This window comes from Homo sapiens, chromosome 1 (genome assembly GCF_000001405.40).
Source record: "Homo sapiens chromosome 1, GRCh38.p14 Primary Assembly".
Classification (NCBI taxonomy): Eukaryota; Metazoa; Chordata; class Mammalia; order Primates; family Hominidae; genus Homo; species Homo sapiens.
The window spans coordinates 108,662,998-108,684,511 of record NC_000001.11 but is presented as its reverse complement, the minus strand read 5'-3'; the positions used below and the strand labels follow the sequence as shown (position 1 = coordinate 108,684,511).

The window sequence follows — 21,514 nt, the reverse complement described above, 5'->3', positions numbered from 1 at the left end:
AATAAAATGCTACTTTTTGTGTTTAGTAATTACTTATCAATATTTATATCTATGTTATTTTGATATCAGTTATGTCCTAATAGTAACTGTTTAAACAGTCAAACAGAAGAAAAAAATTTCAGAACTTAACAGCCGTATTGGAAATGAAACATTTTTAAAACATAGGCAGTTTTATATAATAATGTGACCAATAGGAGATGTCTGAACATAAAAATATTTGTCACTAGGATAAAATTTTATCCACTCCATATCCAGATAGGGACTTTCTTGTTAGCAGATACCATTAGTTTGCCAGGTCTGTAATTACCATATTTATAAGAATCATATGTTTGCTTGCTTTCCTGGGAATATTGCTCTATAAAGGGAGAAGATGGATTATAGGTCTTCTACTTAACTCCTTCCTTCCCACTCACTGATAGATGAAAAATGGTATTTCATTGTTTATTTTAATTTACATTTTGAGTGACATTGAATATTTGTTCACATGCTTATAATTGATTTGCACTTCTTTTTCTGCCTTATAGAAATAGCAACAAAATATTGAAAACCTGCAAAGTAGATGAGTCAAGTGGTCGTTACCTGAGCAGACTTGAGAAATAGGGATCTTAGCAGGCTTTGGAGCAATCTGATTTACACAGCTAAACCCTGCATAAGGCTCAGGAATTGGGAGCACCAGCTAATCCTAGAAGACAGCATGATGGGCTAAAAATATAAGGAATGGTAGAAAGTCTGCTATAAGAATCAGTGAGATGCGGCTGGGCATGGTGGCTCACGCCTGTAATCCCACCACTTTGGGAGGCCAAGGCGGGCAGATCACGAGGAGGTCAGGAGTTCGAGACCAGCCTGGCCAATATGGTGAAACCCTGTCTGTACTAAAAATACAAAAATTAGCTGGGCATGGTGGCATGTGCCTGTAGTCCCAGCTACTCAGGAGGCTGAGGCAGGAGAATCACTTGAACCCGGGAGGCTGAGGTTGCAGTGAGCCGAGATTGTGCCACTGCACTCCAGCCTGGGTGACAAAGCAAGACTCCATCTCAAAAAAAAAAAAAAAAAAAAAAAAATCAGTGAGATGCTCAGATTCCTTCCCTAGCATAGCAGAAGCCCAGAGATTTAGCCTTGGAAAAGGGTAAGACATAGATTCTCCAGCTTGGAGGATACCAGGCCCATTTAAGAGTGAAGATCTCATGTAGAAAAAAAGCAAGAAAATTAGAGGACTGACCTCTGAATAAGGGAGCTCATAAAAAGATAGGGGAGGAAATAATCAAATAATTTAATCAATAATCAATAACTCAGTGCTATTTATAATCTTTCAGGCTGACCAGTTTATTTGATTCATATTACCTGTAAAATGACATTTTCTAAGTTTTCATAAATGTTGGGGATAGTCAAAGGGCCTTTGTTCAGGTGATTAAAGGAAGGGGTTTGCATTACCTCTCCCCTAAGCAATCATACCAAAGTGGCAGAACTAAAGAACTACGATTAAAAAACAAATTAAGAAACAAAAAGAATGGATAATTTATAGAAGCTGTGCAGTGACCTGCCTATAGAGCTCAATAATCATACCTTAAGTTGTCAGTGTATAAAGGCTGAGGCTGTAATTGGCTAAAGCTCTAACTGGCTAAACTACCAAGGCAGGAAGTCCCCCCTTACAAGCAAATATAAGATATATAATCAACCGTAGAAGAAAACAATCACTTCTGGGTCATCTATAGAGTCTGGGTAGTCTCACTGTCCTGTCCAGGCCATAAGAAGCTTTTCTTCTAAGTGAGGCATTTCAGTTCAAGCCAGCCTGACTCTGGGTTAGTAAACTCACAGGTAGTGAGTCTAACTGTGGGTTTTCTCTTATTTGTTTGAGGGGAATAGAGCAGTGGAGTGGCCATGCAAGGGCCATTTGCCATCTGAAACTTGAAGGTTCCCGTGTCTGGATCTAGCTATTCCAGGTTACAACTAAGGGATACAGGGAAAAGAACACTGAGTCCTCATCCCCAAATCTATCCAAACTAGCATGTAACTTTCAGGAAATCTCCTCTCTGGACCAGCTATTCCTACCATCTAAAAAAAGGAGCCTGGACTAGTAACGCTTAACATTTCCAAGTCTAGGATCAAATAGATCTCTTTTCTTCAGAAAAGTCCCTAGGCAAACACAAAGCAGGTCACCACCTTCTAAACGTCTCATTAATCCCAGTATGGAACCTCAGCGCCCATGGTGAGGGATGTCACAGAGCTTCCTACACCTCCCCAAGCACCCTCCACACATGGCCCCCAAGAGTCAGTTATTATTCCTCCCTAAAACACAGCATAATCTGGGGGATCAGGATCTAAACCACGTGTTAGGAATAACGCTTAAAATCCTAAGGAAATTGAACACTTCAACAAAGGATTCTTAGCAAAGCAATTTTACTTCTGTGCAGAGGGGTGCCTCCTTGGCCAGTCGCCATGAGAGCACACCTGAACAAAGGGGCACAAGAGCCTTTATTCCTGATGCAAGTCCTGCCCCTGTACCCTTTCCCCATTGGCCGGGGTCGGGTCATGCAATCTAAACTAATCCCGGTTGGCTAAACATTTGATTTTTTAGATAAGATGGGCCTGTAAAAGGAAGTAGAGAGGAAGGGAAGGGGTGTCTGTAATGAGCTGTAAAGTTAGTCCTCTTTCCAAATAAGGAAAGGAATGTGAGCTGGTACTGATAACACCTAGTACTGTGGTGTGCCTGGGCATTTAACAAAGGCAAAAAGGAAAAGAGGAGAAAAAGGAAAAAGTGGGAGGGGGATAAAGGATTGATCAGATTATTTGAAGAGAAACCTCATCATATCACACACGCACGTGGACCGGGGCTCCTCTGGGTAAAGACTCAAAGGTGGAATGAACTCCCTCAATGATCTCCATGTCTTCTACTTAAACTTTTGATGAAAAAATTTAGATATTAATTTAAAGATAGCTAAGAGACATTTCATAAAGGCACATGTAATAAAGGACTTTTATTCAAAATATACAAAGAACTCTTTTTTTTTTTTTGAGATGGAGTCTCACTCTGTCTCCAGGCTGGAGTGCAGTGGTGCGATCTTGGCTCACTGCAACCTCTGCCTCCCAGGTTCAAGTGATTCTCCTGCCTCAGCCACCCAAGTAGCTGGGACTACAGGTGCTCGCCACCACGCCCTGCTAATTTTTATATTTTTAGGAGAGATGGGGTTTCACCTTCCCAGGATGGTCTCGATCTCTTGACCTTGTGATCCGCCCACCTCGGCCTCCCAGAGTGCTGGGATTACAGGCGTGAGCCACTGCACCTGGCCACAAAGAACTCTTAACACTCAACAATAAGAAAAGAACTCAATTAAAAATTGGGGAAAAGACCTAAACAACACCTCACCAAAGAAGATACACAGGTGGCAAATAGGCATATGAAAAGATGTTCAAAAGCTGGGCATGGTGGCACACGCCTGTAGTCCCAGCTACCGGGGAGGCTGAGGGAAAGCAATTTGCTGGTGATTTAGCTGCCGAGCTTTTATATAAGCAGGTCAACATAGCAAGAAAGGCAATGAAACTTGAAATAAGCTTGTTGAAGAAATCTTGGAGAAGAACTGGCATATAATTTTACCATTAATTATATAACCATTAATTATATTACCATATAAAATAACCATTAATGGTTAAGAATTTTTTTCTTAACCATTAACAAAGTTGAAGCACCTTATTCAGGTGGAGATGAAGGAATTGACTGATAAAAACATTTATCTATTGGTTTTCAAATTGTTTGACAATGAAAGGACATGCAGTCATCCTACTTTATTTTTTATTTTTATTTATTTATTTATTTATTTATTTTTGAGACAGAGTCTCGCTTTGTTGCCCAGGCTGGAGTGCCGTGGCACCATCTCAGCTCACTGCAAGGTCCGCCTCCCGGGTTCATGCCATTCTCCTGCCTCAGCCTCCAGAGTAGCTGGGACTACAGGTGCATGCCAACACGCCCGGCTGATTTTTAGTATTTTTAGTAGAGACAGGGTTTCACCATGTTAGCCAGGATGGTCTCGATCTCCTGACCTCGTGATCCGCCCGCCTTGGTCTCCCAAAGTGCTGGGATTACAGGCGTGAGCCACCACGCCCAGCCCCTACTTTATTTTTAAGGCTTGATATTATTTTTTCTTTCTTTTTTTGACACAGAGTCTCACTCTGTTGCCCAGGCTGAAGTGCAGTGGTGTGATCACAGCTCACTGTAGCCATGACCTCCCAAGATCAAGCAATCCTCCCACCTCAGCCTCCCAAGAAGCTGGGACTACAGGCTGGCACCACCATACGTGGCTAATTGTTTATTTTTATTTTTTGTAAAGACAGGGTATCACTACGTCGCCCAGACTGGTCTCAAACTCCTGCGCTCAAGCAATCCTCCTACCTTGTCCTCCCAAAATGCTGGGATTACAGGTGTGAGCCACGGTACCTAGCCTGATAATTTTTCCTAACCCATTTCCTGTTTGCCCTGAGAAATGAGCACTGGCAGCGGAGTTGCACTTTCTTTTCCTAAACAGGAAATGGGTTAACACGTCCAGTTCAGCTTTTGTCAGTAACAAAGATGACATTTTAATCTCCATTTGTCTGAGTTAGCTGTCTGTTGATTCTGAATTCAAGCCCTGTCAAACACCTAACATCTAATATACCCAAAATAGGGTTAAAGGATCTGTTGTTTTGGGAAGGCGGCACTTCCTTTCCTTAGGTCAGAAAGACATGTGACCCATGGCAACAATAGCCAAAGCCTGCTGGCAATGTCTGGCAATAACAGACCTGAAGCATCATTGTTAAAACCTATTACGGCAATACAAAAAGGAAAGAGCAGGTTTTTGAGAGGCGAGGAACACTTACGTACAGTCATCCCTTGATATCCTTGGGGGACTGGTTCCAGGACCCCCCCAGGGATACCAAAATCCTCAGATGCTCAAGTCCCTTGTATAAAATGATGTAGTATTTGCATATAACCTCCCATATACTTTAAATCATCTCTAGATTACTTATTTATTTATTTTTTGTAAAGGTGGGGTTTCACCATGTTGCCCAGGCTGGTCTTGAACTCCTAGGCTCAAGCAATCTGCCAGCTCAGCCTCCCAAAGTGTGGGATTACAGGCATGAGCCACCATCCCAGCCTTATCTCTAGATTACTTATAATACTTAATGCAATGTAATACTTTGTAAATAATTATACTGTATTTTTTAATATATTATTTTGACTGTTGTATCTTATTTCTTGTTTCTTTCCCAAATATTTTCAATTCACTGTTATTTGAATCTGTGGATGCAGAACCTGCAGATATGGAGGACCAACTGTAGGTAATTGTTCTTCATTCTTCCTTATTCTAAAAAAGTTTTATGAAAGAGAAAGTAGAGGAAAAAAGTAGCAGAGGTGTAGGTTGGGAGGGTCAGATCAGGTAACCTGAAAACCCCAGCCTTTTTGCACTCCTGTATATAAATTGTGCATAGCACTTGGAGGGTATTTCCTCACCAAGGGAGAAAATATCAGTTCCCAGCTCCAACCAGAGCATGGTGAGAGCCAAACTGACCTGACCTCTCAGTCCAGCTCTGGTGCTTATGGAATTTATAATCTTGAGTAACTATAAATCTCAGTTCCTCATTTGTAAGATGGAATCAATGGAGCCAGCTGCAGTGGCACGTGCTTGTAGTCCCAGCTACTAGGGAGGTTGAAGCGGGAGGATCACTTGAGCCCAGGAGTTTGAGTCTGTAGAAAAAACTCTAGGAAAAAGAAAATAAACTTATCTGAGGAATGCAAGCGCCTTTAAATTATAAGACCCAGAAAGCCATCGAAAGTCGTGTCCCACACCCCACTTTGAGCTAAGTAATCTGCCTGCTATATGGACTCCAGACTGAGTGTCAACACCAATAGCCATAAATTAATCTAATGGAGTCATACTCTGGACACCATAACTCATACCCTATGGTTAAAAAATATATAGCCAATCACCAATCAATGTTATTTCTGTATACCAATGAAAATTCCTGGCAAACAACTTTTGTAATTGTCCCTTTCCTGATTTGTCCTTTTTTCTTTAAGAAAACTTGAGCCTCTTGGAGGTATTTCCTTGGTAGTTGTCCTGAACCTTGGCCCAAATAAACTCTCTGTATTAATTTTGACTCTATTTCTTTCTTAAGGTCAACAGATATGATCAAGACTGTGAATAGGGCCAGGCATGGTAGCTAACGCCTGTAATCCCAACACTTTGGGAGGCCAAGGTGGTAAGATTGATTGAGTCCAGGAGTTTGAGACCAGCCTGGGCAAAATAGTGAGACTTCATCTCTACAAAAAATAAACAAAATTAGCTGGGCACAGTGGTGTGTGCCTAGAGTTCCAGCTACTCAGGAGGGTGAGGTGGGAGGATTGCTTGAGCCTGGGAGGTTGAGGCTGCAGCAAGCCGAGATTGTGCCACTGCACTCCAGTGGCACAATCCTGGGTGACAGAGTGAGACCTTGTCTCAACAAACAAATAAACAAACAAACACTGCAAATAGCCACTGCACCCCAGCCTGGACAACCTAGTGAAATCCCATTTCTAAATGAAAAAAAGAATTAATGATACTCAGCTTGCAAGTTTTTATGAAGATTAAATGATTAATGTATGTAAAATATCTAGTACCACAATGTACACAGAGTAGTTGGTTACAAAAGGTCAGTTATCGTAAAGCTGGGTGTGGTAGTATGCACCTGTAGTCCCAGCTACTCAGGAGGCTGAGGCAGGAGGATTATTTAGCCCAGGAGTTCAAATCCAGCCTGAGCAACATACAGACCCCCATCTCTAAAATTTAAAAAGTTACAATAAAGTACTAATTTTTTAAAATTATTATGTCATTATTGACTGTAATCCAGCTCTTCTGGACTCTTTCTGTGGATTTTGTGGCTCGAGACATGAAGGCACACAGGTTAAGCATCCCTTATCTAAAATTTTTGGTGCCAGAAGTGTTTTAGATTTCAGATTTTGAAATATTTGCATGTACATAATGAGATATCTTGGGGCTAGGACCCAAACCTAAACATGAAATTCATTTGTATTTCATATACACCTTATACACATAACCTGAAGCCAACTTTATACAATATTTTATTTAAAAATTTTTCAATTTGTAATTTTTATGAGTACCTAGAAGGTGTATATATTTATGGAGTACATGAGATATTTTGACACAGGCATGTAATGCATAATAATCACATTATGGAAAATGGGGTATCCATCCCTTCAAGCATTTATCCTTTATGTTACAAACTATTTATTTATTTATTTATTTATTTATTTATTTATTCATTGAGACAGAGTCTGACTCTGTCACCCAGGCTGGAGTGCAGTGACATGATCTCAGCTTATTGCAACCTCTGCCTCCTGGGCTCAAGTGATTCTTGTGCCTCAGCCTCCCGAGTAGCAGGAATTACAGGTGTGTGCCACCACATCCGGCTAATTTTTGTATTTTTAGTAGAGATGGGGCTTTGCCATATTGGCCAGGCTGATCTCAAACTCCTGACCTCAAGTGATCTGCCCGCCTTGGCCTCTCAATGTGCTAGGATTACAGGCATGCGCCACCATGCCCAGCCATCCATTTATACTCTTAATTATTTTAAAATGTACATAGTATTAGTTCTTTAAATATTTGGTGGAATTCAGCAGTGAAGCCAGCAGGTCCTGGGCTTTTCTTTATTGGGAATTTTTTTTCTTTTTTTGTAGAAGGAAGGGCTTTATTCAGCTGGGAGCATCGGCAAGCTACTGCCTTAAAATCCGAGCTCCCCGAATGCACAATTTCTGTCCCTTTTTTTATTTTATTTTATTTTATTTTTATTGATAATTCTTGGGTGTTTCTCACAGAGGGGGATTTGGCAGGGTCATGGGACAATAGTGGAGGGAAGGTCAGCAGATAAACAAGTGAACAAAGGTCTCTGGTTTTCCTAGGTAGAGGACCCTGCGGCCTTCCGCAGTGTTTGTGTCCCTGATTACTTGAGATTAGGGAGTGGTGATGACTCTTAACGAGCATGCTGCCTTCAAGCATCTGTTTAACAAAGCACATCTTGCACCGCCCTTAATCCATTTAACCCTGAGTGGACACAGCACATGTTTCAGAGAGCACAGGGTTGGGGGTAAGGTCACAGATCTACAGGATCCCAAGGCAGAAGAATTTTTCTTAGTGCAGCACAAAATGAAAAGTCTCCCATGTCTACTTCTTTCTACACAGACACGGCAACCATCCGATTTCTCAATCTTTTCCCCACCTTTCCCCCCTTTCTATTCCACAAAACCGCCATTGTCATCATGGCCCATTCTCAATGAGCTGTTGGGCACACCTCCCAGACGGGGTGGTGGCCGGGCAGAGGGGCTCTTCACTTCCCAGTAGGGGCGGCCGGGCAGAGGCGCCCCTCACCTCCCGGACGGGGCGGCTGGCCGGGCGGGGGGCTGACCCCCCACCTCCCTCCCGGACGGGGCGGCTGGCCGGGCAGAGGGGCTCCTCACTTCCCAGTAGGGGCGGCCGGGCAGAGGCGCCCCTCACCTCCCGGACGGGGCGGCTGGCCGGGCGGGGGGCTGACCCCCTCACCTCCCTCCCGGATGGGGCGGCTGGCCGGGCGGGGGGCTGACCCCCCCCCACCTCCCTCCCGGACAGGGTGGCTGCCGGGCGGAGACGCTCCTCACTTCCCAGATGGGGTGGCTGCCGGGCAGAGAGGCTCCTCACTTCTCAGACGGGGCAGCTGCCGGGCGGAGGGGCTCCTCACTTCTCAGACGGGGTGGTTGCCAGGCAGAGGGTCTCCTCACTTCTCAGACGGGGCGGCCGGGCAGAGGCGCTCCTCACATCCCAGATGGGGTGGCGGGGCAGAGGCGCTCCCCACATCTCAGAGGATGGGCGGCCGGGCAGAGACGCTCCTCACTTCCTAGATGTGATGGCGGCCGGGCGGAGACGCTCCTCACTTTCCAGACTAGGCAGCCAGGCAGAGGGGCTCCTCACATCCCAGACGATGGGCGGCCAGGCAGAGACACTCCTCATCTCCCAGACGGGATGGTGGCCGGGCAGAGGCTGCAATCTCGGCAGTTTGGGATGCCAAGGCAGGCGGCTGGGAGGTGGAGGTTGTAGCCAGCCGAGATCACGCCACTGCACTCCAGCCTGGGCACCATTGAGCACTGAGTGAACGAGACTCCGTCTGCAATCCCGGCACCTCGGGAGGCCGAGGCTGGCGGATCACTCGCGGTTAGGGGCTGGAGACCGGCCCGGCCAACACAGCGAAACCCCGTCTCCACCAAAACCAGTCAGGCGTGGCGGCACGTGCCTGCAATCGCAGGCACTCGGCAGGCTGAGGCAGGAGAATCAGGCAGGGAGGTTGCAGTGAGCCGAGATGGCAGCAGTACAGTCCAGCTTCGGCTCCGCATGAGAGGGAGACCTTGGAAAGAGAGGGAGACCGTGGGGAGAGGGAGACGGAGAGGGAGAGGGAGAGGTAGAGGGAGAGCGGGAAACTTTTTATTACATCTTCGATCTCATTACTTGTTATTGATCTATTCAGGATTTGGATTTCTTCATGATTCAATCTTGGTGAGTCATGTCTAGGAATTATCCATACCTCTAGATTCTCTAGTTTATTGGCATATAGTTGCTAATAGTAGCCACTAATGATCCTTTGAATTTCTGTGGTATCAGTGGTAATGTCTCCTTTTTTGTCTCTGATTTTATTTGGGTCTTCTCCCTTTTTTTCTGTTAGTCTGGCTAAAGGTTTGCCAATTTTGTTTATCTTTTTAAAAAAAACCCAACTTTTGGTTTAGTTTATCTTTTGTATTGTTTTCTTCATTTCAGATTCACTTATTTCTGCTCTGATCTTTGCTATTTCTTTCCTTCTATTAATTGTGAGTTTGGTTTGCTCTTGCTTTCCTTGTTCTTTTAGATGCATGCACTGTTAGGTTATTATTTGAAGTTTTTCCTTTTTTTTGATGTAGGCTTTTATAGCTTTACATTTTTCTTAGTACTGCTTTCACTGTATCCCATAGGTTTGGGTATGTTGTGTTTCTATTTTTATTTTTTATTTTTATTTTTGAGACGGAGTCTCACTCTGTTGCCCAGGCTGGAGTGCAATGGCGCGATCTCGGCTCACTGCAAGCTCCGCCTCCCAGGTTCATGCCATTCTCCTGCCTCAGCCTCCAGAGTAGCTGGGACTACAGGCACCCACCACCAAGCCTGGCTAATTTTTTTTTGTATTTTTAGTAGAGACGGGGTTCCACTGTGTTAGCCCGGATGGTCTCAATCACCTGATATTGTGATCTGCCCTCCTCGGCCTCCCAAAGTGCTGGGATTATAGGCATGAGCCACTGTGCCCAGCCCATTGTGTTTCTATTATTTGTTTCAAGAAATTTTTCAGTTTCCTTCTTAATTTCTTCATTGACTCACTAGTCATTCAGGAGCATATTGTTTAAATTTCTATGTGTTTGTATTGTTTCCAAAATTCCTCTTGTTATTGATTTCTAGTTTTATTCCTTTGTGGTCAGAGAAAATGCTTGAAATTATTTCAATTTTTTTGAATGTTTTAATATTTGTTTTGTGATCTAACATATGGTCTATCCTTGAGAATGGTCCATATGCTAAAGAGAAGAATGTGTATTCTGCAGCTAGTGGATGAAATGTTCTTTTAATATCTATTATGTCTATTCGTTCTTTAGGGCAGATTAAGTCCAATGTTTCTTTGTTGAATTTCTGTAAGGGAGACTTGCCCAATGCTGAAAGTGGGGTGTTAGAGTCTCCAGCTATTATCCTATTGAGGTCTATCTCTCTCTTTAGTTCTAATAATATTTGCTTTATATATCTGGGTGCTCCGGTGTTGGGTGCATGTATGTTTACAATGGTTATATCCTCTTGCTGAATTGACCCTTTTATCATTATATGGTGACCTTCTTTGTCTCGCCTTACAGTTTTCATCTTGAAATATATTTTGTCTGATGTAAGTACAGCAACTCCTGCTGTGTTTTGGTTTCCATTGGCATGGAATATCCTTTTCGATCCTTTTATTTTCAGTCTGTATGTATCTTTATAGATGAAGTGTCTTTCTCGTAGGCAGCAGATCCGTGGGTCTTGTTTTTTTCATCCATTCAGCCTTTTTATTGGAGAGTTTAGTCCAGTTATATTCAATGTTATTATTGGTGAGGAGGGACTCACTCCTGCCATTTTGTTATTTGTTTTCTGGTTGTTTTGCAGTCTTCTCTTTTTTTTCCTTTATTCCTGTCTTTCTTTTAGTGAAGGTGATTTTCTCTGGTGGTATGATTTAATTTCTTGTGTATGTGTTGTATGATTTTTGATTTGCAGTTACCATGAGGCTTGCAAACACTATCTTATAACCCATTATTTTAAACAGATGACAAGTTAACACTGATTGCATAACAAACACACACAAAAAACTAACAAAAAATCTACACTTTGACTTCGTCCCCCTGCTTTTTAGCTTTGGTCCTCTTTATGTCTTATTGTATTGTCTACATCTTGAAAAGTTGTTGTAGTTATTATTTTTTATTTGTTCATTATTTAGTCTTTCTACTTAAGTCAAGAGAAGTTTACACACCACAGTTAGTGTTATACTATTCTGTGTTCTTACCCTTGCCAGTGAGTTTTGTACCTTCAGGTAGTCTCCTCTTGCTCATTAATATCCTTTTCTTTCAGACTGAAAAATTCACTTTATCATTTCTCACAGGACAGGTCTGGTATTGATGAAATCTCTCAGCTTTTGTTTGTCTGGGAAGGTTTTTTTTTCTCCTTCATGCTTGAAGAATATTTTTGCTGAATATATTATTCTAGGGTAAAAGTTTTTTTCCTTCAGCATTTTAAATATGTCATATCACTCTCTTTTGGCCTGTGAGGTTCCCACTGAAAAGTCTGCTTCCTGCCAGATGTATTGGAGCTCCAATGTTTGTTGGTTTTTTTCTCTTGCTGCTTTTAGAATCCTTTCTTTATCCTTAATATTGGGATTTGATTATTAAATGCCTTGAGGTAGTCTTCTTCGGGTTAAATCTGCTTGGGATTCTATAATCTTGTACTTGAATGTTGATAACTTTCTCTAGGTTTGGGATGCTCTCTGATACTATTGCTTTAATAAACTTTCTACCCCTATCTCTTTCTCTACCTCTTCTTTAAGGCCATTAACCCTTAGATTTCCCCTTTTGAGGCTATTTTCTAGATCTTGTAGGCATGCTTCATTCTTTTTTATTTTGTCTTCTCTGACTGTATTTTCAAATATCCTGTCTTCAAGCTCATTACTTTTTTCTTCTACTTGATCAGTTCTGCTATTAAGAGACTGATGCAGTCTTCAGTATGTCAATTGCACTTTTCAACTCTAGAATTTATGCTTGATTTTTAAAAATTATTTTAATCTCTTCGTTATATTTATTTGGTAGAATTCATAATTCCTTCTCGGTGTCATCTTGAATTTCTTTGAGTTTCCTCAAAACAGCTATTTTGAATTTTCTGTCTGAAGGTTAACATATCCCTGTCTCTCTAGAATTGGTCCCTAGTACCTTATTTAGTTTGTTTGGTGAAGTCATGTTTTCCTGAATGATCTTGATGCTTGTAGATGTTTGTCAGTGTCTGGGCATTAAAGAGTTAGGTATCTATTGTAATGTTTGCAGTCTGGGCTTGTTTGTGCCCATCCTTCTTGAGAAGGCTTTCCAGGTATTTGAAGGGACTTGGGCCCCAAGCCCAATAAAGCTGTATTTCTTGCATACTTACAGAGGTACTGCCTTGGTGGTCTTTGATAAGATCTGGAAGAATTTTCTGGACTACCAGGCAGAGACTCTTGTTCTCTTCCCGTACTTTCTCCCAAACAGAGTCTCTCCCTGTCCTGAGCCACCTGAAACTGGGGGTGTAGTGATGCAAGCACCCCTGTGGTCACCACCACTGGGACTGTACTGGGTCAGACCTGAAGCCAGCACAGCTCTGGGTCTTGCCCAAGGCCTGCTGTAACCACTACCTGGCTACTACCTATGTTCACTTAAGGCCCTAGGGCTGTACAATCAGCAGGTGGCAAAGCCAGCCAGGTTTATGTCCTTCCCTTCAGAGCAGCAAGTTCCCCTAGGCAGGTCCAGAGATGAGCCAGGGATTGGAGTCAAAAACCTGATACATTTGTCTGATATTCTAGTCTACTGTGGCTAAGCTGGCACTGAAACCACAATACAAAGTCCTTCCTGTTCCCCTCTCTGCTTTACTTAGGCAGAAGAGCCTCTGCCTATGGCCACCATCAGCCCAGAGCGGGGTTCTGCCAGGCCACTCTTGATTTTCACTTAAAGCCCAGGGGCTCTTCAGTCAGCTTGTAGTGAATGCTAAAAGGCCTGGGACTCACCTTTCAGGGCAGTGGGCTCCCCTCCGGCCCAGTGCAGGTCCAGAAATGCTGCCAAGAGCCTAGGTCTAGACTTGGGAACTGCAAGAGCCTGTTTGTTGCTCTACCCAACTGTGGCCAAGCTTGTATCCAAGGGGCAAGACAAAGTCCCCTTTCCCTTTCCCTCTGTTTTTCTTAATCAGATGGAGTGTGTCACCATAGCCACCACAGCTGGGAATGTACTATGTCTCACCTGAAGTCAGCACATCTCAGAGCCCAAGGCCCATGGCATACTGCCTGGGTATCATTGCTGGTTATACAGGGCCCAAGGGCTCTTTAGTGAGCAGGTGATGAATCCTGCCAGGACTGGGCCCTTCCCTTCAAGGCAGTGGGTTCCCTTTTGGCCCAAGGTATGTCTAGAAATGTCATCCTTGAGCAAGGGCCTTTAATGGGGGCCTTATGACTCTGTTCAGTGCTCTATCCTATTGCAGCTGAGCTGGTATGCAAGACAAAGTCCTCCTTACTCTTCACTCTCTTCTCCTTAAGCAGAAGGAAAGAGTCACTTTTGCCACTGTGAACTGCACTGCTTGGGGTTGTGGAAGCACTCCTTCAGCCACCCTGCCTGGTGTCTCTCTAGGTCACATACCATCCTAGTCCACTGGCTCAGAGCCCAGCCCAGCAATTAAGAATTGCCTAGGAATTGCAGTCTTTCTGTCCTAGACTGCCTTTCAACTTTACTAGGACCCCAGAGCACTTTGACTTGCAGTGGCGAGGCTTACCAAAAAAACTCAAGTTCTGACCACTGGGGTGGGTGATTCCCCGCTGGCTAGGTATGGTCCAAATGTTCCTTTCACGCGCAGGCACTGCCTGATTGCAGCACAGCTTTCCTCTCCTCTCCACTGTGACAGGGAAGCACTGAGTTCAATGTAAAGTTCCCCAGTCACTGTGCTCTCCCACCCCCAAGTGCATAGACTCTCTGTGCCAGGGGATGAGGAAAGGGTGGTGTTGGCGGTTCAGGACTGTCTCTCTGACCCTCTTCAATGCCTTTTTCAGTGATAGGAAGTCAAAATCAGGTACTGTGATAGCTCATCTGAGTTTTGGTTCTTGTGACGGTGCTTTTCTGTGTATAGATAGTTGTTAAAATTTGGTGTTCCTGCCAACGGGCAGGGGGCAAACAGTGTAGGCTTCTGTTCCACCATCTTACTCCCCTTTCTTATACAATATTTTAAATAATGTTGTGCTTGAAACAAAGTTTTAACTGCGTTTTGGCTGTGACTCATCATATGAGGTCAGGTGTGGAATTTTCCACTTGTGCCATCGTTTCGGGTGCTCAGAAGTTTCAGATTTTGTATTTTTCAAATTAGGGATACTCAACGTGTACTTTTCTGTGGTAGAAATTTGTTATTTGTAGATTTGAACACTGTCCCTACATTTCGGTAGTTTCCCACGTAATGATATTCATCTTACCCAAATGGAAGCCTCATCCCCACCACCTAAAACATTTTACAACCCAAGACCCTTGAAGCTGGAAATAACCTAGGCTCAATCCATTAGATACGTGGATTTGAGAATTAGATTCAGAAGCCAGTCATGGTGGTATGCATCTGTAATCCCAGCTACTTGAGAGGCTGAGGCAGGAGGATCGCTTGATCTCAGGAGTTTGAGACCAGGCTGGGCAACACAGCAAAACATTATCTCAATTTAAAAAATAAAATAATGAGTAGGGTTCTTTAGTTGTCTAAGAGATTGGGTGAGAGTTCAATAATAAATTACTTTTCGGCTGGGCGTGGTGGCTCATGCCTATAATCCCCACTTTGGAAGGCTAAGGCGGGTGGGTCACCTGAGGTCAGGAGTTTGAGAACAGCCTGGTCAACATGGCTAAACCCTATCTCTACCAAAAATGCAACAATTAGCTGGGCATGGTGGCAAGCGCCTGTAATCCCAGCTACTTGGGAGGCTGAGGGAAGAGAACTGCTTGAACCTGGGAGGCAGAGGCTTCAGTGAGCCAAGATCTCACCTTTGCACTCCAGCCTGGGCAACAAGAGTGAAACTCCATCTAAAAAAAAAAAATTACTTTTCTACTTAAACCAGCCTGAGTGCATTCCATTGTTTGCAATTAAGAACCCTGACTGAATACATACTTCCTCTCCCCTCCCTCCCTTTCTTCCTTCTTCCCTTCCTTCTTTCTTCCCCCTCCTTTCTTCCTTCTTCCCTCCCTCCCTTCTTTCCCTTGCTTTCCTCTTCCCTCCCTTCTTTCTTTCTCTTTCTCTGTCTCTCTTCCTCCCTCTCTCTCATTTTTATTTTTTTCTGACACAAGTTATCCAGGCTGGAGTGCAGTGGTGTGACCATAGTTCACTGCAGGCTTGAAATCCTGAGCTCAAGTGATTGATTGTCCCACCTCAGCCTCCCATGTAGCTGGGACTATAGGCATGGACGACCACACTGGCCAATTTTTAAATTTTTTATAGAGATGGGGTCTCGTCATGTTGTGTCTGGAGTTGGTGGGTTCTTGGTCTCACTGTCTTCAAGAATGAAGCAGCGGACCCTCGCGGTGAGTGTTACAGTTCTTAAAGGCAGCGTGTCCAGAGTTTGTTCCTTCTGATGTTCAGATGTGTTCGGGGTTTCTTCCTTCTGGTGGGTTCGTGGTCTCGCTGGCTCAGGAGTGAAGCTGCAGACCTTCGCAGTCAGTGTTACAGCTCTTAAGGTGGCGCGTCTGGAGTTGTTTGTTCCTCCCGGTGGGCTCGTGGTCTCGCTGGCTTCAGGAGTGAAGCTGCAGACCTTCACGGTGAGTGTTACAGCTCATAAAGGCAGTGTGGACCCAAAGAGTGAGCAGTAGCAAGATTTATTGCAAAGAGCAAAAGAACAAAGCTTCCACAGTGTGGAAGGGGACCCGAACAGGTTGCCACTGCTGACTCGGGCAGCCTGCTTTTATTCTCTTATCTGGCCCCACCCACATCCTGCTGATTGGTAGAGCTGAGTGGTCTGTTTTGACAGGGCGCTGATTGGTGCGTTTACAATCCCTGAGCTAGACACAAAAGTTCTCCAGGTCCCCACCAGATTAGCTAGATATAGAGTGTTGACACAAAGGTTCTCCAAGGCCCCACCAGAGTAGCTAGATACAGAGTGTCGATTGGTGCATTCACAAACTCTGAGCTAGACACAGGGTGCTGATTGGTGTGTTTACAAACCTTGAGCTAGATACAGAGTGCCGATTGGTGTATTTACAATCCCTGAGCTAGACATAAAGATTCTCCACTCCCCACCAGACTCAGGAACCCAGCTGGCTTCCCCCAGTGGATCCTGCACCAGAGCTGCAGGTGGAGCTGCCTGCCAGTCCCGCGCCATGCACCCGCACTCCTCAGCGCTTGAATGGTCGATGGGACTGGGCGCCGTGGAGCAAGGGGCGGTGCTCATCAGGGAGGCTCCAGCCGCACAGGAGCCCACGGAGGGGGTGGGAGGCTCAGGCATGGCAGGCTGCAGGTCCCGAGCCCTGCCCCGCGGGAGGGCAGCTAAGGCCAGGCGAGAAATCGAGCACAGCGCCGGTGGGCTGGCACTGCTGGGGGACCCAGTACAACCTCTGCAGCCACTGGCCCGGGTGCTAAGCCCCTCATTGCCCGGGGCCGGCAGGTCCCGCCGGCTGCTCCGAGTGCGGTCCCCGCCAAGCCCACGCCCACCCGAACTCCAGCTGGCCTGCAAGCGCTGCGTGCAGCCCGGGTTCCCGCTCCCGCCTCTCCCTCCACACCTCCCTGCACGCTGAGGGAGCCGGCTCTGGCCTTGGCCAGCCCAGAAAGGGGCTCCCACAGTGCAGCGGTGGGCTGAAGAGCTCCTCAAGTGCCACCAAAGTGGGAGCCCAGGCAGAGGAGGCGCCAAGAGTGAGCGAGGGCTGTGAGGACTGCCAACACACTGTCACCTCTCAATGTGGCCAGGCTGGTTTTGAACTCGTGGCCTCAAGTGACCCTCCTGCGTTGGCCTCTCAAAGTGCTGGGATTACAGGTATGGACCACCATGCCCAGCCTGGATACATTTCTAAGTATACAAATGTCAGAAACCTTTTCTCTTCATTTCATCTACCCCATCTTTGTGATCAGATCATCAACTTAGTGTTAGAGATCATTTTAGTTTTAAAAAACAATGGTAAATTTATACACTTCTTTACAAATTTTTTCACTTATCTCACCAGAATGACCCCCTGAAGTTGGTAGGTCTTATTAATCCTCATTCTATAGATAAGCAAACTGAGATGCAAGAAAAGTACTATATAGGTTAAAAAAAAAAAGCTCAATATTTTGGGGCCTTCAATGTGCTCAAAATATTTCCTCTCTGTATTAGTCCATTTTGTGTTGCTATAAGCGAATACCTGAAACTGGATGATTTATAAAGAAAAGTAGTTTATTTGGCTCATGATTCTGCAGGCTGTGCGTGAAGCATGGTACCAGCCTCCGCTTTTGGTGAAGGCCTCAGGAAGCTTCCATTCATAGCAGAAGGTGAAGGGAGCAGTTGTGCCATATGGCGAGAGGGGGAGCAAAAGCAGGGAGGGAGGTCCCAGACCTGCCCTCAACATTGAACATCAAATTTCAACATGAGATTTATAGGGGACAAATATCCAAATTATATTACTCTCTAACCATTTATCTCTTGAGAAGTCCTGCTCTCCCAAGTCCAGAGAGGCAGCCCTAAGTCCCTTGTGAGCCCAACCCTTTCTCTAACCCTTACACGTGATTGAACTAGGAAAGGAGACTTGGTCGAAATTAGCCCATCAGATTCTCTCTTGCGAAGTGGGACCTGGACCCACAGAACTACATCTGTTAAGTGTGAGAGTATTGCTGTAGACTCCAGAGCTGAGGTTACCACCTGCCCAAGGCCCTGCCGACCTGTATTGGGATAATGGAATTGTGATGGATAATTTTATGTGTTAAGTTGTCTGAGCCATGGGACTTAGATATTTGGTCAAATATTCTAAATGTTTCTGTGAAGGTTATTTATTTTTTTGTGGATGAGATTAATATTTAAATCAGTAAACTCTGAGCAAAGCAGGTTTCCCTCCATAATGTTACTGGGCCTCATCCAATCAGTTGAAGTCCTTGGTAGAGCAAAGCCTGACACCTCCCCTTTCCATCTACTCCTGCTTCCCCAGTGTTACCCAGCAAGAGGGAATTCTTCCAACCGACTTTGGACTTGAACTGCAACTCTTCTCTGGGTCTCCAGTCTGCCCATCTGCCTGCCCTACAGATTTTGGACTTGCACCTCCATAATTGCATGAGCCAACTCCTTAAAATAAGTCTTTCTTCACATATATACACATATCCTGTTGGCTCTGTTTCTCTGGAGAATGCTCACTGATGCAGGGATGATCAGATTGGTTGTGCTATTGTGGAAGTAGTAGTTTTCCTCTAGATGCTGATCCTGGCAGGGCAGATCCAGGTTTTGTGGGGCCTGAAGCTTATACAATGTCAGGGCCTGCTATAAGAAAAAGCATAAAGAATTATGGATATGAAATTACAACTTTGCATGTCTGACAACTGGAAGAATTTTCCAGACTCTTTTGGAATCATGCTTTTCAAATCTTATTTCTTCTTTGCTACTTTCATAGGTTCACAGCTGGCCCATAAAACACACTCATAGTGTGATTCAACTTCTGGCCCTGCACCTTCCCATCAGGATATGAGGCAGCTCAATGGCCATTCTTACACCGAGACAGCCAGCAATAATTTCACTACTGTGCAGAAAAAATATCCAACACTTGGAAATAGATTATTTCACAGTATTTAACATTTTCTAAAAAAAATTTATTTTTAATTTTGGAGACAAGGGCCGTTCCCAGGCTAGTCTCAAACTCCTGGCCTCAAGCAATCCTCCTGCCTCAGCTTCCCAAAGAGCTGGGATTACAGGCATGAGCCACTGCACATGGCTGACATTTTAGTAACATGCCAGAGAATTAAGCCTGTCTCTCAGGCATATGGCTCTCTTGGGGACTCTAACTTTCTCTGAGTCACTCCCTACAAACAAGAGAGTCCAAACAGTTAACAACCCTGAGAAGTTAGAGGTTAACTTGTAGAATATTGATAAGGTGAGAACGTTTTTGTTTCTTGCTTGGTAGAGAAGATGCTCCAAATGTGCTCTTATTGCTCCATAGGTGGTTATTCAGTTATGTACATAATTCAGTGTTATCAGTCAGCTTGGGTAGCTGTAACAAAATACCACAGACTGGATGGCTTAAACAACAAAAAATTATTTTCTTACAGTTCTGGAGGCCGGAAGTCTGAGATCACGGAGCTGGACTTTTATACATCCACACCGGTCAGTCATTAGCAAAGCACTACCTAGGAAAATGTAAATTTTCAGGCACTTCCCACTCTCTGTGCACATGGACAGAGCTGCTGTCTTCAGTCAGTTTAAATGGCTCACCGGGCCTGGAGGATTCACTTCCAACATGGCTCACTCACATGGCTGGCAAGACAAGGTGGTGCTGGCTGACAGCCTGGGATAGCGGGTGAGGGGGGATTGAGTTTTCTCCATGTGGGCCTCTCCGTGGGGCCCCTTAGTCTTCTTCGCAGATTGTCATTTGGGTTCCAAGAGTGGATGCGTTAAAAAACAGGAAGTAGAAGCTGCCAGTTTCTTAAGTCCTAGGCCCAAAAACTGGCAGAGGTATTCTATTCATTGGTGAAATCACAAAACCCATATAGATTCAAAAGGAAAAGAAATAGACCCCGTTTCTCTCAATAGGTGAGAAGGAATTCGTACATCTTAATCTGTTACAATCTTCCTTCTAGACACAAACTATTTACATTCCTCTTACATGGAATATACAATCACCCTCTTCTCAAGACCTCCAAATATTCCATCCTGTTAAGCATCAGGCTCAAACTGGCATCCAGAATAACTTAAAAAATTTTGTCAGGCGCGATGGCTCACGCCTGGAATCCCAGCACTTTGGGAGGCTGAGGCGGGCAGATCACTTGCGGTCAGGAGTTCGAGACCAGCCTGGCCAACATAGTGAAACCCTGTCTCTACTAAAAATACAAAAATTAGCTGGGCATGGTGGTGCGTGACTGTAATCCCAGCTGCTCATGAGGCTGAGGCAGGAGAATCGCTTGAACCTGGGAAGTGGAGGTTGCAGTGAGCCGAGATCACGCCACTGCACTCCAGCCTGGGTGACAGAACCAGACTCCGTTTTAAAATATTAAAAAATATTTTAAATTTTGAAATTAATTTTTTGTTAGACAGGGTCTCACTCTGTTGCCCAGGGAGTGCAGTGACATGATCACAGCTCACTGCAGCCTCAAACTCCCAGGCTCAAGCGATCCTCCTGCCTCAGCCTCCTGAGTACCTAGGAGTACAGGTGCCCGCCAGCATGGCCAGATAATGTTTTTTTTCTTTGTAGAGACAGGTCTCGCTATGTTGCCCAGGCTGGTTTTGAACTCCTAGCCTCAAGCCATCCTCCTGCCTCAGCCTCCCAAACTGCTGGGATTACAGTCATGAGCCACCTCACTCAGCCCAGGATAACTCTTGATTACCTATTGTGTGCCAGACACCTACACCTGCTGGACTGTAAAAGCTATGAAAGGATCTTTATCTGTCTTTTAAATTCAAACAAGTACTTGATCCATAATAAATACTCTATACACATTTACCAAATAAGTAATCATTTCTCATTTTTTAACTTAAAAAAACCCCCTAACACTCAGAGAGGATGCAACTTCCAAAGGTTATGCAGTAATAGTAAAATCTGGATTTAAGGCCTATTTGACTTAAAATCCACTCTAAAAGACGTTACATGGTCTATAACTCAGTAGGACTTACCTTGTGTACGAAGGAAAGATGAGTTATAATGACAAAATGAGATGACAAGGCTAAGCTATTAGCTGTGGGAAGGAACAGATGGTAGATGACAGCTTGAAGAAGTCAAAATTTGGTGATTGTCCAAGTGTGGGAAGGACAAAAATGGACAGAGCCAAGGATGATTTTTCAGACTCTAATAAGAGTAGGAGGCCAGGAGAATGATGAAATAGGCAAATTTGGAGAGGGAATGGACATGAGGAGCTCAAGTTCATAAATGGGCTAACCAGCAGGGGAGGCAAAAACCCTAGATCCAGGAATGCTGTATAGATGATAGCTTTTATGTTTTCCTTAAAATTTTTGAAACTGTGGTAAATATACATAAAACCACTTTAACAATTTTTAAGTTCAGTGGCATTCAGTGCAACCATCCTAT

The 21,514-nt window shown here is 44.5% G+C and overlaps 1 long non-coding RNA gene across 1 annotated transcript; it reads right to left on the bottom strand.

Annotated features, from left to right (window-relative positions):
- Nucleotides 1–17,670: 17,670 nt before the first annotated feature.
- On the bottom strand, nucleotides 17,671–20,245 carry LOC105378890 (uncharacterized). Its single transcript, XR_947679.3, has 2 exons — nucleotides 19,543–20,245; nucleotides 17,671–18,762 (listed from the first exon to the last, which is right to left on the bottom strand). It is a non-coding gene; the product is annotated as an uncharacterized LOC105378890 (long non-coding RNA).
- Nucleotides 20,246–21,514: the final 1,269 nt, after the last annotated feature.